The sequence below is a fragment of the Homo sapiens genome, chromosome 8, assembly GCF_000001405.40.
Source record: "Homo sapiens chromosome 8, GRCh38.p14 Primary Assembly".
In the NCBI taxonomy this organism is placed as follows: domain Eukaryota; kingdom Metazoa; phylum Chordata; class Mammalia; order Primates; family Hominidae; genus Homo; species Homo sapiens.
Window position 1 is genome coordinate 125,422,735 of NC_000008.11, and position 16,017 is coordinate 125,438,751.

The window sequence follows — 16,017 nt, forward strand, 5'->3', positions numbered from 1 at the left end:
GGTGTGTGTGTGGGCTGTGTGTGTGGGGTGTGTGTGGGGTGTGTGTGTGGGGTGTGTGTGGGGTGTGTGTGTGGGGTGTGTGTGGGGTGTGTGTGGGGATCAGGTTTGGATGTGTCATCTAGGATCTCCAGGGCAGGCCGTGGAGGCCCTACATGGTGAGGACTGAAGGAGGGAAGAGAAGCTCAGGAGGGAAGATAAGGGAAAACAGGTCACAGATCAGAAGCCTCTGTTTATACTCTTGTTCAGGACTCCACAGATGTTAGGCCTATGCAAATCTAAGGCTTCCTGTGCTCTTAAAGAAAGAGAAATGTTTGGATAGAATTTTTCTTCATTAGGAGATTGAGGCAATGTATAAAGCAGAAAAGCCATGGCTAGGATTCAGCCCTAAGAGGGTTCAATTCAACTTTGCCACCTTCTGGCTGTGTGACCTTAGACAAATTAATCAGCTTCTCTGAGCCTGTTTGTGCATCTGTACAAATGGTGGTAATAACAATTTTTTTTTTTTTTTGAGATGGAGTCTCATTTTGGCACCCAGGCTGGAGTGCAGCAGCATGATCTTGGCTCACTGCAACCTCCGCCTCCTGGGTTCAAGCGATTCTCCTGCCTCAGCCTCCTGAGCAGCTGGGACTACAGTTGCTTGCCACCATGCTTGGCTACTTTTTGTATTTTTAGTAGAGATGGGGTTTTGCCATGTTGGCCAGGCTGGTCTCAAACTCCTGACCTCAAGTGATCTGCCCGCCCCGGCCTCCCAAAGTGCTGAGATTACAGGTAAGAGCCACCCCGCCCAGGATTTTTTTTTTTTTTTTAAAAAAAGGTCTTGCTACATTTCCCAGGCTAGATTTGAACTCCTGGGCTGAAGTGATCCTCTTGCCTCAGCCTCCCGAGTAGCTGGGACTACACGTGCGTGCCACTGCATCCAGCTCAATAACTATTTTCCATGATTGTTTAAACATTAAATTAAACAACAGGAAAGTGTCTAGAATTGGCAGGAACACAATACATGTTTTTGTCTTTCCTAACTTTTGATATATTGTCTTCCCTAAATATGTTCCTTTTTTTTTTTTTTTAAAACAGAGTCTTGCTCTGTCACCCAGGCTGGAGTGTAGTGGTGCAATCTTGGATCACTGTAATCTCTGCCTCCCAGGTTCAAATGATTCTCATGCCCCAGCCTCCTGAGTAGCTGGAACAACAGGCATGCACCACCACGCCCGGCTAATGTTTTTGTATTTTTAGTAGAGATGGGCTTTCGCCATGTTGTCCAGGCTGGTCTCGAACTCCTGTCCTCAAGTGATCTGCCTGCCTCAGCCTCCCAAAGTGCTGGGATTATAGGAGTGGGCCACTGCGCCCAGCCCCCAAACTTTTTAATTCATTTTATTTTTTAGAATGTAAGGTCAGGGAGCATAATGCACTGGACGCATACCCTCTGTGTGTGGCTACAAAGCCTCATGTGCCGTGAGACAGGGAGATGGAAACTGGGGGCCCTGGCCTCTAAGGATTTCCATTTTAGAATGGGTAGAACACTCAGAGCCTTCCTAACGTTGCTGCCATGCATCTACCTTGGCATGAATGAAAATGAATCAAGCCAGAGGTCATCAGCAGCCTAACCTTGTCCAAAAAAATCGATACAGGTTTCCCCATGTTATGTAATATGTGAGCTCCTGAAAAGTCAGAGTTAAATCAATTTTCTCACAGCTGACCATGTACTGAGCATCCAGCATCAAGCTGAGCATCATGCCGAGGCTACGCAGGACACACACGCATGCACGATCAGTGGTGATTCTGGCTTTCAGGCCTCATCATAAATGCACCAGAGGAGCTTGTGGATGGCATCGCTTGGTAGAGACCCTTTAATATGGGAAGAATGACTTCCTAATTACCATCCTATTTATTTAGATATTTGTATTTGTCGATTTGGAGTTTCATAGTACGGTCTTTTTGTTTTTTTTTTCAATTCTCACATATAGCAAGTCCTTAATGAATATTTGTTGACTAAATGAATACTGTTCAAAATCAAGGCACACCCATACCTGATAATCTCCCACATTTGGGTCTGGCTGGATGATCCAAAAGTACTTTCCACATATTTATACTTCCTCATTTCCATTAAGAACTGTGTAGGGGAGGAGGCCAGGCTCAGTGGCTCGCACCTGTAATCCCAGCACTTTAGGAGGCTGAGGCTGGAGGACTGCTTGAGCCCAGGAGTTCGAGACCAACCTGGGCAACATGATGAAACCCCATCTCCACAACAAAACTAAACAAAACTAAACTGTGTAGGAGAGGAAAACCAGGCCTTTATTACGCCCATTTCACAGGTGAGACAACCGAGGCTCATTAAGAGCCACTGGCTTCCTCAAGTGAGTATCTGAAAAGTCTGAGGGAATTTCAGTCCAGATTTTACCAGTAGGGAAGCCCTCCGCAAAGAAATCAAGACAATTTTAGCTGCCTTGTGCCTCGGCCTGCCTTATCTCAGGCCTTGCCAAAGGTCCATGTTCATCTTCCCCGGCATGCAGGCTGGGAGCCCCACAAGCCCCTGCTTTCCCCGACACTCCACCTCCCATTACCTCTCCAGGGCCAGACGTCTAACTCCGAAATCTGTGCCCTGCTCTCCAGCCCCTGTCTCTGTCTGAAGTCCAGTGTTTCCTCTCCATCTGTCATCTCAGGCTCTCCTTGTGGGTGACCCTCTGCCCTGGAGTGCATTTATTTGGTTGACACTTACTAAGCCCCCTCTTTTTTTTTTTTTTTTTGAGATGGAGTCTTGCTCTGTTGCCCAGGCTGGAGTGCAGTGGCACAATCTCAGCTCACCACAACCTGTGCTCCCCGGGTTCAAGCGATTCTCGTGCTCCAGCCTCCAGAGTAGCTGGGACTACAGGTGCCTGCCACCACGCTTGGCTAATTTTTGTATTTTTAGTGAAGACGGGATTTCACCATGTTGGCCAGGCTGGTCTCAAACTCCCGACCTCAAGTGATCCACCTGCCCGGCCTTTCCAGAGTGCTGGGATTATAGGCGTGAGCCACTGTGCTTGGCCTAAGTCCCTCTTTTATAACGGACACTGGGCTGGGGGCTGGATGAACACGAATGAACAAGACACAACCCCTGCCCTCTGGGAACACAGTTGCGTGGAAAGGGTCACGAGAGATAGTTGGACAGAGGACTCGACAGCATTTGGTAGGACACTGAGATCTGAGTGCAGGCGCTGGGGAAATCCGGATGGTGTTTTGAAGGATGAGTAAGAGTTCCTTTCCTTGGAAAAGGAAGAGAGGGAATTCCAGTGGGAGGGAACAGCGCAGGCTGAAGTGCAGAGATGTGAATTGGCAGATAGATCAGTTTGGGGCCCTGCCAGGAGCTGGCATGGGTAGGACAGAGGGGAGGAGGCAAGAAAGGTGAGGCTTGGAAGGGAAGTGGGCCTGGAAGGTGAGGCTCGGAAGGGAAATGGGGCTTGGAAGAGGGCCTACTTTTCCATACTGTGGTGTTTGGATTTTATCTGGGGGTGGGGTCCCTGCAAGGTTTTAGGTCAGTGCCTTGCGTGATCACATTTGGATTTTAGGAAAGTGACTCCACAGCTGTGTGGGGGATGGATCAAGGGGATACACGACATACTGTGTTTTGTGCATCACTGTGTCTCCAGCACTTAGTGGGTGCTGACACCAAGTAGGGGCTCAATGTTTGTTGAAGGGATGAATGAGTGGCTCCATTGAGAACTTACTGCAGGAATCCAGGGGAAGGTTGTGAACTAGGATTATGGGAGTGGGGAGAGGGCCGAACGTGGGAAAGGGAGAAGGTTTCTATTAGACAGGGTCTGGGCAGGAAAATGGAACTCAGGCCAGGAAGTTCAGTGGATAGAATTTATGTAGAAAACTAGTTACAAAGGCATAGAAAGGGCAGAAACAAAACAGAACAAAACATGGTGCTGGGGGCCACCCAGAGATTAGCAACATCTGGAAGCTGCTGCCACCCTACGGCTGGAGGGACAAAGGTGGTTTCACCTGCTCCCAGAAGCCAGAGTCCCTGGAGTGAGCTCGGACCATGAAGAAGGGGTGCCACAGGTTGAACTCCCCAGGAAGCTGACTCTGAGATGCAGGCCAGCCTGCAAGAGGATTCTGTGGGAAGAGGGGGAGGAAGGAACAGGATTGGGCAGAGGAAAAAGCTGGGCTGTGATGCAATTTTAGGAAGGCCTAAATCTGGGAGCTCTGAAGCTGGGATGCCTTGGACAGGTGGCCCAAGTTGGGACAAGGGGACCTTTATTCTTCCATGATCAGCAGTCACTGGATGTGGACCCTTGGGAAGGGAGTGTGACCTCCGGCAAAGTGGCTCTTCTCAGTCAAGGCAATTTCCAAAACAGCTCCTGATATGCACTCCCAGCAGCCAGGGAAACAGATCCTCCAGTTGGGCAGCGGGATCTGGGGAGCACATCGCAGCAGCCATGCGGAGTGGCTGTCTCCTCTGGAGCCCCAGAGGAGGTGTGGCCAGCTGCCTGAAGCAAATAGTAGCCTGGGCATTCTCTTCTTCCTCCTGCCTTCTAATCTCCCTCCCGGGCCTCCCACTGGGCAAACTGGGCTGGAAGCCAATGGGCAAGTGAGCCTGGGAAGTAGAGCTGGTGAGGGCCAGCCCCAGGGAGCTGAACAGTGCGGGGTAGGGCCCGGCACTGAGAGCTCACAGGTCTAGGGTGGGCTGTGGGAGAAAGGAAAAAGGCAGATTCAAAGGGGAACCCACGATGAGTGCCTGTGATCCTGGCCCCTGGGTGGGCGGAGCTGGGTGGATGGTGGCATGCCTGTCTCTCAGAAGAGGCAGAGAAGGAGGCACACACCTGGGAGGAAGATGCTCAGGGGCCATGCTGAGTTTGCCATTCAAGTGCTGGCAGCTCAGTGGATCTTACATTCTGGCACAGAATAATCTTCAAAGACAAAAAAAATGTAGGTGGGGCCGGGCGTGGTGGCTCAAGCCTGTAATCCCAGCACTTTGGGAGGCTGAGGTGGGTGGATCACTTAAAGTCAGGAGTTCAAGACCGGCCTGGCCAACATGGTGAAACCTCGTCTCTACTACAAATAAAAAATTACCCAGGCATGGTGGCGGGCGCCTGTAATCCCAGCTACTGGGAGGCTGAGGCAGGAGAATCACTTGAACCCGGGAGGCAGAGGTTGCAGTGGGCCGAGATTGGGTCACTGCACTCTAGCTTAGGCGATGGAGGGAGACTCTGTCTCAAAACAAACAAACAAACAAACAAACAAACAAACTAACTAACTAACTCTTCGGTGGGCTCTCCTCTGGGCACAGGACCAAGTGCAACATGGCTTTCAAGCCCTTCCCAACACTGTCTCAGGAGACCTCTGCAGGCTCAGCTCCCACCACCCTTGTAGTTTCTCTGGCCTGCTAGCCCTGCCCTTCCGCACACCCCTTGTCTGGCCCGGCCTCCCACCATTCATACTCTCCCTTGAGCAACTCCCTCACAGTCCCTGCACATCTCCCAGGTCAAATGCCTTCTAGAGTCCTCCCTAACTCCTGTTTTCCCCTACAAATTGTAATCTCTCCTTCCAGTCGCCATAAATGCTTAGGAGCTTGACCGCACCACCCCTTATGAGCTACTTAACCGCAGCAAGTAACTTCATCTTTCGTTCTTTTTTTAAATTATTATTATTATTATTTTTTATTTTTTGAGACTAAGTCTTGCTTTCTCCCCAAGGCTGGAGTGCAGTGGCACGATCTCGGCTCACTGCAACCTCTGTCTCCCAGGTTCAAGTGATTCTCCCACCTCAGCCTCCCCAGCAGCTGGGATTACAGGCGCGCGCCACCACACCCAGCTAATTTTTGTACTTGTAGTAGAGACGGGGTTTCACCATGTTGGCCAGATTGGTCTTGAACTCCTGACCTCAGGTGATCTGCCCACCTCAGCCTCCCAAAGTGCTGGGATTACAGGCGTGAGCCACCACGCTTGGCCTAACTTCATCCTTCTAAGGCTTCAGTTTCTTCCCTGTGAAATGGGGCAAAAAATAACCCCATAGTGTGGTTGGAAAACTGAAGTAATACATATAAAGTGCTAAGAACAGTGTCCGACACATTGTAGGCCTCGATTCATGTTAGCTATTATTATTATTTTAATTTTCACCTTCTAATTCCCAGCGTTTAGCTCTTGGTAGATGCTTAATTAGTATTTGTTGAATGAATGGAGAATTAATAAGGAAAATGATTTATTCCTGGGGCTCGACCTGGTTTTAGAAAATTAAGTATTTAGCAGAAGGACAAGTAAGGGCTCTCTAATAATAGTTATATTGTTGGGTGCCCAGGGACTCCAAACTGACCTGGTTCACTCAAGAAAGAAAAATGACAGATTCCAAGTTGTTTCACGCGCAACTTTGATGCTCTTCCAAATCACACGGAATGAATGCATGCGCACCACCAGGCAGGGCTGCCCGGGTGCAGGCGGTATCTCTGGCAGTGGCCAGAATGACTTCCACCAGCCTACCCACCTACCCAGGTTGGCACTCAGGCCCTAGACCCTGCGGCGCGTGTGGAGGCTGGGGAGGGAGTAGGAATCCGGCGGCAGCCACGTGGGCCCCTTCCGCCCGCTCCCCACATCCTTTGTTTCCCACCGGCCCTGGCTCAGGAAGCTCTTTCTGCGAGTCACCGCGAAGGGGCGGCCCGGGAGCCTGGAGAAGCTATTTCCGTGCAATCCGGGCGGGCGGCAGGCGCGGGGGGGTTGGGGGGGCGTGGAGGTGGAGGCAGCGCAGAAGGCCCAGTGTTTGCTTTTATTTCCTCCAACAGAAGGTTCTATTTGTGGAAGCGAACAGACGCTGGGGATTAGAGCTGGGAGGGGGCAGGAAAAGGGAAAAAAAAAAGCCACATCCACTACCACGCACAGGTCTTCCCCGGAACTACCGCGTGGGGGTGAATGACTGATTCTGGAATTCATCACCTCCCTATCCCCCTCCTTCCTCCGGCTGCAGCCGGGCCTCGGCGGCGCCCACGGCTCCAACCGGAGCTCCCCAGGCGCTGGGCGGTGGGGGGATCCCCGGGGCGAAAGGCGTCGCCGCGGGGCTGCAGCGAGCGGCGGGTGCAGAGAACCGTGGTGCGCGCTCCCGCCTCGCGCCCGCAGCCCATTGTGCTTACTGTGAATGAGGCGCGCGCACCAATCAGCGGTCGCTTCGCTCCCCGCAGCCCCGTCCCTCCCGCCCACTTCCCCGGGCCCTTACGTCACGGGAACTTTTCCTCCGCCCCCTCCTTCGGCTTCTCCGCTGAGCTGGGGGCCTGCGGGAGGGCGCGCGCGCCGCCTCCTGCCCAGCCCCTCCCAGCCCTGGGGGCGTGTGCGCGCGTCCAGGCCGGCCCGGGACGCACCACCTGCGCCCGAGCGCGCGCTGCCCGGAGCATCCCCAGCCCTAAGTCCACCCCCATTCCCCCCACCTCCTACTCCCTCTCCCCTTCCCCCAGTCTCCTCCCTCCGCTCCGGAGACTGCTCGCTGGGCGGCGGGGCCGGAGTCGTCGCAGCCACCTCATTGCACAACCCGGCTTCCCAACTGTTTACACAGCCCGGCCTGTGAGTGTGTGTGTATACAGCGTGAGTCACCAGGAGGCGGAGGAGGTGGAGGAAAAGGAGAAGGAGGAGTGCACTGGCCGGGATCGGTGCAGCGCTCACACTCACTCACAGTCACTCTCTCTGAGCGCGTCTCGCTCGCTCTCATACACGCCCGGAGCCCAGGAGCGCTCAGGATCCCGAGCGCCGCGAAAAAGTTCCCCCGGCTTTTGCTGGAGACTCATCGCTTTGGGAAGTGCATTTGCTTCGTGGCTCCGCCGAGCCTGCTGAATCCTGTCCTCGCGGCTCGGGACCCCGGGATCGCTGACCGCTGCCGCCGCCGCCTCTGCCTCCCGGACTATCGGCAGCCTCGGCAACAATAGTGGCGGCCGCCCCCAGCGAGGCTCCGGGAGCCCTTGCCTGCGGGGGTCCGGGGACTCGAGCCGGCCTCCGCCTCCCGGACGCACAGCCAGCGTGGTCCCCGCGTGCAACGCGAGCGCCGGGGAGTGGCTCCTGCTTTGCCCCTCGTGGGGGCCGAGCCAAGACCAGTCTGCAAACTCCATCCCGCCGGCTGGAAGAAGTCGCGGAGCCGGCACCAAACCCGCAGCGTCTTCCCGCGCGGATCCCGGGACTTAAAAAGCCGGGGCCACCCCGGCCCAGGACGGGATGCGGGTCGGTCCGGTGCGCTCTGCCATGAGCGGCGCCTCGCAGCCCCGCGGCCCGGCCCTGCTCTTCCCAGCCACCCGAGGCGTCCCGGCCAAACGCCTGCTGGACGCCGACGACGCGGCGGCTGTGGCGGCCAAGTGCCCGCGCCTCTCCGAGTGCTCCAGCCCCCCGGACTACCTCAGCCCCCCCGGCTCGCCCTGCAGCCCGCAGCCCCCGCCTGCCGCTCCGGGGGCCGGCGGAGGCTCCGGGAGCGCGCCGGGGCCCAGCCGCATCGCCGACTACCTGCTGCTGCCCCTAGCCGAGCGCGAGCATGTGTCCCGGGCGCTGTGCATCCACACTGGACGCGAGCTGCGCTGCAAGGTAGGCGCTCCCGGGCCAGGACCCGGCTGGGGTCGGGGGCGCGGGACGGGGTGGTAGGCAAAGGTGCTTGGGGTCCGGCCAACGCTTGGGCTGGGCACAGGGCGGATCAGTAGATTGGGTCAGATAAGACGCCATTTGACCAGGTTCACGTTTTTGTGGATCGAGGGGTTTCCCATGGAGTGATATAATGGGGGCGCCTAGAGGAAGTGCAGTGTTCAGTGGCTTTCTCTATCTGTTCCTTTCCTCAGCGCCCAGTGTAGCGCGTGGCGTTCCATATAAGTTGTGGAATTGAAATGGATTCCAGGGCCATGCCATTCCCCTTCTCTCATTCTCCTCGCTCTCCACCCCCCCTCCCCCGCCAATGTCCTGGAAGGACGCCCTTTAGTGGGTGCCTCCTAGGAGCTTGGAGCAGCTGGCAGCTCTCTTGCCGGGCTTGCACGGCACCCGGGCTCAGTTGTAGGTGGTAAGGGGGCTGGAAGACTGTGTCCGGCTCCTGCCTTGGGGATTCCGAATTGAATCCGCGCTGAGACTAGAACACGCCCTCCCAAGGGAGCAGTCCCAGAGTCATCCACCCGAGGCGGAGGAATCTGCTCGGAGTAGAAATGTTGAAAAGCCCACACCGGCCAGGAACCCTCGCTTCGATTCACTTTATTTTCCAGCCAGCGATTTTCCTTTGAACATAGGGATCCCATCCAGGAGGAGGAGACACAGCTCCTAGAAACAGGATCCGCCGGGTCCTCCTCCTGCGCGGGTAGACGCAGAACGTTCCCACAGTCTACTTTATGCGAGCGTGGCACCCCTGCTTGAGGCACCCCAGAGCACCCTCGGGCCGCTCCTTTTCACCCGAAAGATAGGATCACCCCCCAGTTAAGTCGCTTCTGGGTTTTCCGCAACTCACCTGACACTCCCAACACCCCGACCCCGTCCCGGGGCTCGCTGCTGCCACCTACTGCCCAACCCGAATGAAATTTCAGACGCATGATCAAGCCCAGTTTAATAGGGAGGAAAAAAAAACCTTTTCTTCTCCATGACTGGGGCTAAGAGCTGTTCTGGGACAAGCATGTATGTGTGTGTGGTGGGATGGGATGGGATGGGGTGGGAGGAGGGGGCAGCAGGGGATTTTTCTAGCTGGTGCCAGAGCAGCCAGGCCTCTTAGAGGTGGGGTGAGTCTGGCCATTGTGCAACCCCTTCCAGTTCCTCTGAGCAGATAATAGCTGAATCCAGATGGTGACAGCCCGTGTGTCACCGTTTCCAGTTGAGTCTAGGATATGAGTAACTGGACTGAACAAAAGGCCTTTAAAGAGACCAGCCAGCTTCCTAGAAGAGAGGAGATGCTACTCATTTCTAGGGGTGGGGTCGGGTGTGGGGGGATAAACAAACAAGTGGAAAACCCATTCGCAGGATTCCATACCCTTCCTGTGAGAATTGTAACTCAAGGCTGCTTACACTTGAGTCGGACTGTAGGCAGGTTGCTTAAGGCTGCATTGTCCCAGCCTCCCCCTCCAAGTCATCTGTTCCTTCTGATTAATGACAGCTCTGCATGTTCTCTGGCCCCTGCTTCCCCTTGGAGGCTGCAGAGTCACCACATTCTGTGCCCTTTCTGTGTTGAGCACTTTGGGTCTGCAGGAGGCACATGCACGTCCAGGGACTGCTTTTCAGCTCCTGGACAGGCCAGGGGCTTCCTTCTATCAGCCACTCAACTAGTGTGGCCTGCAAACAGGAAAGGGCCACAGAGGGTGGGGGGTTTGCTTAGCTCTCAGGAGCTGACAGAAGATGGGAACATGTACAGGAGACAGTTCTTTCAAATCATCTGTGTGAAAGCGGGTAACCCTTTGGGTATTTGCAAGTCTAGAGCTTTAGGTGTTACTGGTTTTAAAGGTGTCAGGGGCAGCTGGGGCTGCGTAAGGTAAGGTGGCAGAGGAAAGGAGTAGGTGAATGGAACTTACTCACATCCTAAGCCCACAGGTTGAGAACTTCTGTTCAGCTCCCTCAGGGGTTTGGGAGGCTGCCTTTGCTTTTCTAGCCCCCTAAACGGGCCCCCCTTCTCTCTACAGGTGTTTCCCATTAAACACTACCAGGACAAAATCAGGCCTTACATCCAGCTGCCATCGCACAGCAACATTACTGGCATTGTGGAAGTGATCCTTGGGGAAACCAAGGCCTATGTCTTCTTTGAGAAGGACTTTGGGGACATGCACTCCTATGTGCGAAGCCGGAAGAGGCTGCGGGAAGAGGAAGCCGCCCGGCTCTTCAAGCAGATTGTCTCCGCCGTCGCCCACTGCCACCAGTCAGCCATCGTGCTGGGGGACCTGAAGCTTAGGAAGTTCGTCTTCTCCACGGAGGAGAGGTGAGCGGCCGCCACAGCTTCTCCTGTGGCCTTTTGGAACCAAAGCGGAGGTGCAGGTCATGTAGTTAGGTGCTGTGTGTTGGTGCAAAACAAAGTCAAGGGCTCATATGTCCCAGATTTAGTATTTAGAGCTTCTGTTCCTGAGGAGTCACAGCCAAGGTTGGTTTATTCTGCATTCTCTTGGACGGGGCCTGGGGACACCGTGGCGCTTCTATGGGATGGCAAGTGTTGACAGGGTGCTCTTCCTCTCCTACCCCAGGATCAGGTTCATTCCCCATTGTTGTCAGAAAGGTCAGTTGTCTGGGGTACAAATATTAAACTGCCCTTTACGATATTGCCTTCTGAAGGAAGTGTTCAAATCTTTGCTTATGCCAAGTGCTGTTTTGTACCTGGAAGGTTTCACAGAGCTAGTGAGACTGTCATATATGCAGAATTCCACCCTCTTGTTTCACACAGCATTCCTCTCCCATCCCAGTCCAGGTTCTCTGTAACATCACATTCTCTGGTGACTTTTTAGACAGCTTGTTTGGATCCGTCTTCAGAAAATAGCCACATTGAATAGTAAATGGAAGTTGGTTAGGATGGATTGCTAAATATAGATCATAGCTTACCTCATAAAGAACAAGATGAGCTTGATAAGAGAGTAATGAGGCATTAAGATTCAAAGCTGAGGTTTCAGCTAGAGAATTCAGGAAGCCGCATGAGATAGACCACACTTGATTTTAAGAGCCAGCCACATCCCTTGTGGAAAGATTACAAGCAGTAAGGCTGTAACATTGTAGAGGTGAGAGTGAGTTAGTTTGTTGTAAGAAGTGGGCTTATCTCACCTGTGCATTTTTACCTTTGACTCCAGAGCATATGAAACAGTACAGGGTTGAGCTGTCATAAAGCATGACTTTGTATCTGACCTCGCAATAATTATTGGAACACACTGATTAGCAAAGAAAAGCAAACTGTTGGCAATGAAGAAGTTTCTAATTCCTGGAACATGCTCCTTTGATATGGTGATGCATTTTCTGAAACATGCCTTACACACCTCCTTACTAGCTTTTGAAATCTGCATTGCACAGGCGAATATCATGGGCATGGGGTTTGGCAACCCGGGGGTTAAGCAATGTCAGGCTGACGCTATTCGTGTAACCAGCACAGGTGCAGGGTTTTAGTGCTGTAGCAGCCAATCAGGGGCAGACAGTGTGGGTTGAGTCATATTTTCCGTTTACAGAACCAATGGGTATTTTACATAACGACAGGGAGGTCACGCTGAGGACATACTGAAGTTAGCACATGTATACTACACTCCAGGGAACAGGAAGGCAGAAAAAAAAAAAAACAGACCTTTGAGAGGAAAAGGAATTGACCCATCAGCCAGTACCAAATGTTTGCATTTAACTTCACAAGTGACTTACTGAAACGGGTATTTCAGAGAAGCAGGCAGAGACAGGGTGTCACTGGATATCAGAGCTTCCCCACCACATGGCTTTGAGCTTTGGGGGATCCAGGAGACTTGGGTGGCTGGTTCTGAATAAGGAGGCACCTGCAGCTTCATAAGAGAGCCTTTGACTGAAGGTGTTTTAGACTTTCGTTGTTACCTGAACAGAGACCCCCCCTGTAGAATACATATGCTCACATGTTGATGTGCCATCCCAGGGGGAGTGTGTGTCCCTGTGTAAGAATTTCAGGGTCCCTGCGTCCCTGAAATCCATCAGCCACTTTTGTTTGCTCGCATAACCTCTCTGTCCAGGCAAAGTGTTCTTTGCAGTTAAACACCCCAATAAATGTAATTAACATTCCTTGCAACTTTCCCATCCTAATTGTTGCAGCCTGGGCCCAGGAGGACAAAGTTTGCTCTGTGTGCATGTATCAGTGTGGGCACCAGCGCTGATGACCTGTGTGTAATAGCAGTGACTTTGGGCTCCGTGTTCTGTAATGCAGTGTGGGTCCAGGTAGCCCTGGCAGTCATAAGAGGGAAGATGGGTTCGTAGGATGCTCAGGCCCTCTCTGAAGAAGTAGGATATGCTGCTCTTCCCTGCTAGCTTTTGTAGAGAATGCAGCATTCTGAGACAGGCTCCCAGTTCTGCAATGGGAACTTAGTAAATTGCGTAACTCCTATTAGGATATCTCTTGTAAGCTCCAGCATTATGAATACTATTTGGGGCTTTGCCTCATACCCTCCACCCCAGGCGCTCTGCCGATACTTTGCAAACATTTATTGCAGTTCGTGTTAGTTTGTGAAATCAGGAGCCCTCGGTAGTTGCAGGGCACTGCTTACTGGACGAAGGGGTAAATAGCATTCCTGGAGCCTTTGCTGTTAGTGCCTGTGGGCGCTGTTATTGGGAAGGCTTTGTTTTTCATAGCAGCTGGTGTGGAAATAATGGCTTGGTTCCTCTCTCTTGCAGAACCCAGCTTAGACTAGAAAGTCTAGAAGACACACACATAATGAAGGGGGAAGATGATGCTTTGTCAGACAAACATGGCTGCCCAGCCTACGTGAGCCCTGAGATCCTCAACACCACTGGGACCTACTCCGGAAAGGCTGCGGACGTTTGGAGCCTGGGGGTGATGCTCTACACCCTTCTGGTTGGACGATACCCCTTCCATGACTCAGACCCCAGTGCCCTTTTCTCCAAAATTCGGCGTGGACAGTTCTGCATTCCTGAGCACATTTCCCCCAAAGCCAGGTGCCTCATTCGCAGCCTCTTGAGACGGGAGCCCTCCGAGAGACTCACTGCCCCCGAGATCCTACTGCACCCCTGGTTTGAGTCCGTCTTGGAACCCGGGTACATCGACTCAGAAATAGGAACTTCAGACCAGATTGTTCCAGAGTACCAGGAGGACAGTGACATTAGTTCCTTCTTCTGCTAATCCCCAAAACCTCAGAAACCTCATAATTCTTAACACCTGGCATTTCCATTTCTAAAGATGGACAGGCCCTTTGGCGTGGTACCAACCAGATAATGACTGCATCAGGATGAAAGCTGCTGAACTCGGCATGGCGCCTCCTCTTCTCTGTTGGGATGAGTGACTTTATTGATTTGAGCAGCATATGCTGTGATTGGCTGCCCTGCAAATTTGTTTCCCTTAAGGAACCCTCACCAACTATCTCTGCTGGATTTGGGAGTTCCGCATCTTTTGTGGAGGGCAGAGTATGGACATCTTACACCCGGTGGTCAAGTGTGTAATAAACTTGAGCATTCGAATGGGAGAAAAAGCAAATCGCACAATGACATATTTTGAGTAATAACCGTATTTTTCACAGGGTGACAAATTGGGCCAATAAATCTGCCATCTTTGAACTCATCTTTGGTGGCTAGACTGCTACGGCAGCTTCTCTGATGGGAAAGTTCCTTTTTTGGCTTAACACTCACCCTTTCTTCACACTCACATTTACCAATGACTCTGCTCCGTTTTTGGAGCAGACTGTTTTAAGTTGCTCAGGAGCCTGATGGAACCATGAACCGAGACTCTTCTCTGTTTCCTGCCAAGACCTCATCTGCACTAATGCCTTCTCCCTGACCTTGACACTTCCCCCTTTAGCTATAAAAGCACTTACCAGCCGAACGTGGAACAGTATCACAAAAGATTCCATCTCCCAACGATTTCAGAACTCTGAGCTCAGAGAGACTCCAGATTTTAAAAAATAATTTGAGTGCTTGGAAACTATTAGCTTTTTAAGTTCCTTCCAAATATGTTAGTACCTACCCTTTACTTTTTCCCCAAGACCATCTCAGGGTGGAGCATTCTGTCTAAGAGAAGAAAGATAAGGAGGCTCCCACCCACCTCTCCCAAGAGCAGACATTAAACATCTTTGTGCTTTGAAGAGAGTGAATTTTGGATAGTCTTGTGATTCTCAGACTAACTTCCAGAATTATACTTTAACCCCTCCCAGATATGGTCCGCCTTTGGCATTGTGTGTACATCTGCAGTTTTGCATGGTGGGTTGTTAATATTTCAAATGTGTGGTTTATGAATACGTCTGTATAATCGGCTTCTGGAGTGAAACAGCAAACCCCAAATCTTCAAAGTTGGAAGGAACTTTAAAAATCATCCGGTCCAATCTCTTTCCTCTTTCTGCCACCTCCCAAGGCAGAAATCCCCTCTTCAGCTTCTTTTGTAGGTGGGAATCCAGCCTCTGTTAGATATGTCCAGAGATGGAAACTCACTCCCCTACAAAAGATGGAGCTTAATGGAGAAATTGCAACTTTCATTAAAAAACAAATTCAGATGAAATATCAGTAACTGTCTTGGACAGTGCTGAAATCAGGTGGTTAAACGGGTAAACAAAATATACTGTATTTTGAGAAATGGCACAAAAACAGGCAGTCATCTTTAAGGGCTATGCCTAGGCAAACTACTAACATGCATTGTGAGAATGCCGTGTATACCTCACGTACTGTGTACTTTGTACATATATTTTACCTTTTATACCTATGTTCGATTTTGTTTTGTTTTGTTTTGTTCTGGCTTTGAGGCTTGTTTTGTTGTCTGTGTCTGTCTGAATAACCTGCGTGTCTAAAACCACGTGAAATGTGAATGATTATTGGCAATATTACCTTGACAGAATCATGGGACTTTGAGAAGAGGGAGGACAGAGGCCTCTGTCGCACTAACGCTCTCGTGGTTGCTCGACTGTTGTATCTGTGATACATTATCCGACTAAGGACTCTGGGCTGGCAGGGCCTTCTGCCGGGAAAGCTAGAAACACTAGGTTCTTCCTGTACATACGTGTATATATGTGAACAGTGAGATGGCCGTTTCTGACTTGTAGAGAAATTTTAATAAACCTGGTTTCGTAAATAGGTGTGGTGAATTTCTTTCGAGTTCCATCTGCTTTGCCTTTTGCAATTTCATGCAGAGGTTGCAAAGGTCTCTGGCCTCAGGACTTACAGTCTAGTTGGGGGTGAGCAGCAAGGGGAAGGTGGAAAAGTAGAGATGATGAGGATCATCGATGACCTTTGGCAGACTTGAACCCATTTGCTTTTCTCATTTCAGTGGGCAAATTTATTTTGATGGATGAAGCCCATTGGGTGTTGATACGTGCTTTGGGTTGAATTTAGACTCGGGAAACATTTTTTATTTTTTATACTCTTTCATAGCAGAATCAGAATCAAGAAACGTTTGAAGGTGAGCATTCATAAATTAACC

General features: G+C 51.7%; 1 protein-coding gene across 2 annotated transcripts, besides 4 other annotated features; it reads left to right on the plus strand.

Moving 5' to 3' along the window:
- Nucleotides 6,797-7,416: a silencer, noted in NCBI's record as "silent region_19518". NCBI's record gives its function as "represses an Ori minimal core promoter by ATAC-STARR-seq in GM12878 lymphoblastoid cells {active_cell/tissue: GM12878}" and the evidence as "EXISTENCE:reporter gene assay evidence [ECO:0000049][PMID:35858748]".
- Nucleotides 7,624-15,669, plus strand: TRIB1 (tribbles pseudokinase 1). Of its 2 annotated transcripts, none has more exons than NM_025195.4 (3): nt 7,624-8,528; nt 10,583-10,875; nt 13,272-15,669. In NM_025195.4, the coding sequence occupies exons 1-3, from the start codon at nt 8,169-8,171 to the stop codon at nt 13,735-13,737; spliced, it is 1,119 nt and encodes a 372-aa protein (NP_079471.1). In that variant the 5' UTR covers nt 7,624-8,168; the 3' UTR covers nt 13,738-15,669. The 2 variants fall into 2 exon arrangements, with proteins under 2 accessions (NP_079471.1, NP_001269914.1); NM_001282985.2 differs by lacking the exon at nt 7,624-8,528 and adding an exon at nt 9,475-9,590.
- Nucleotides 7,777-7,826: an enhancer, noted in NCBI's record as "active region_27914". NCBI's record gives its function as "activates an Ori minimal core promoter by ATAC-STARR-seq in GM12878 lymphoblastoid cells {active_cell/tissue: GM12878}" and the evidence as "EXISTENCE:reporter gene assay evidence [ECO:0000049][PMID:35858748]".
- Nucleotides 8,147-8,486: a silencer, noted in NCBI's record as "silent region_19519". NCBI's record gives its function as "represses an Ori minimal core promoter by ATAC-STARR-seq in GM12878 lymphoblastoid cells {active_cell/tissue: GM12878}" and the evidence as "EXISTENCE:reporter gene assay evidence [ECO:0000049][PMID:35858748]".
- Nucleotides 9,297-9,386: an enhancer, noted in NCBI's record as "active region_27915". NCBI's record gives its function as "activates an Ori minimal core promoter by ATAC-STARR-seq in GM12878 lymphoblastoid cells {active_cell/tissue: GM12878}" and the evidence as "EXISTENCE:reporter gene assay evidence [ECO:0000049][PMID:35858748]".
- Nucleotides 15,670-16,017: the final 348 nt, after the last annotated feature.

What these genes read in the sequence shown, in the direction of transcription:
- TRIB1 (NM_025195.4), top strand. Translation starts at nt 8,169, where the DNA reads ATGCGGGTCGGTCCGGTGCGCTCTGCCATGAGCGGCGCCTCGCAGCCC. An exon ending in GACGCGAGCTGCGCTGCAAG is followed by an intron (nt 8,529 to 10,582) that starts GTAGGCGCTCCC and finishes TTCTCTCTACAG; the next exon opens with GTGTTTCCCATTAAACACTA. An exon ending in GTCTTCTCCACGGAGGAGAG is followed by an intron (nt 10,876 to 13,271) that starts GTGAGCGGCCGC and finishes TCTCTCTTGCAG; the next exon opens with AACCCAGCTTAGACTAGAAA.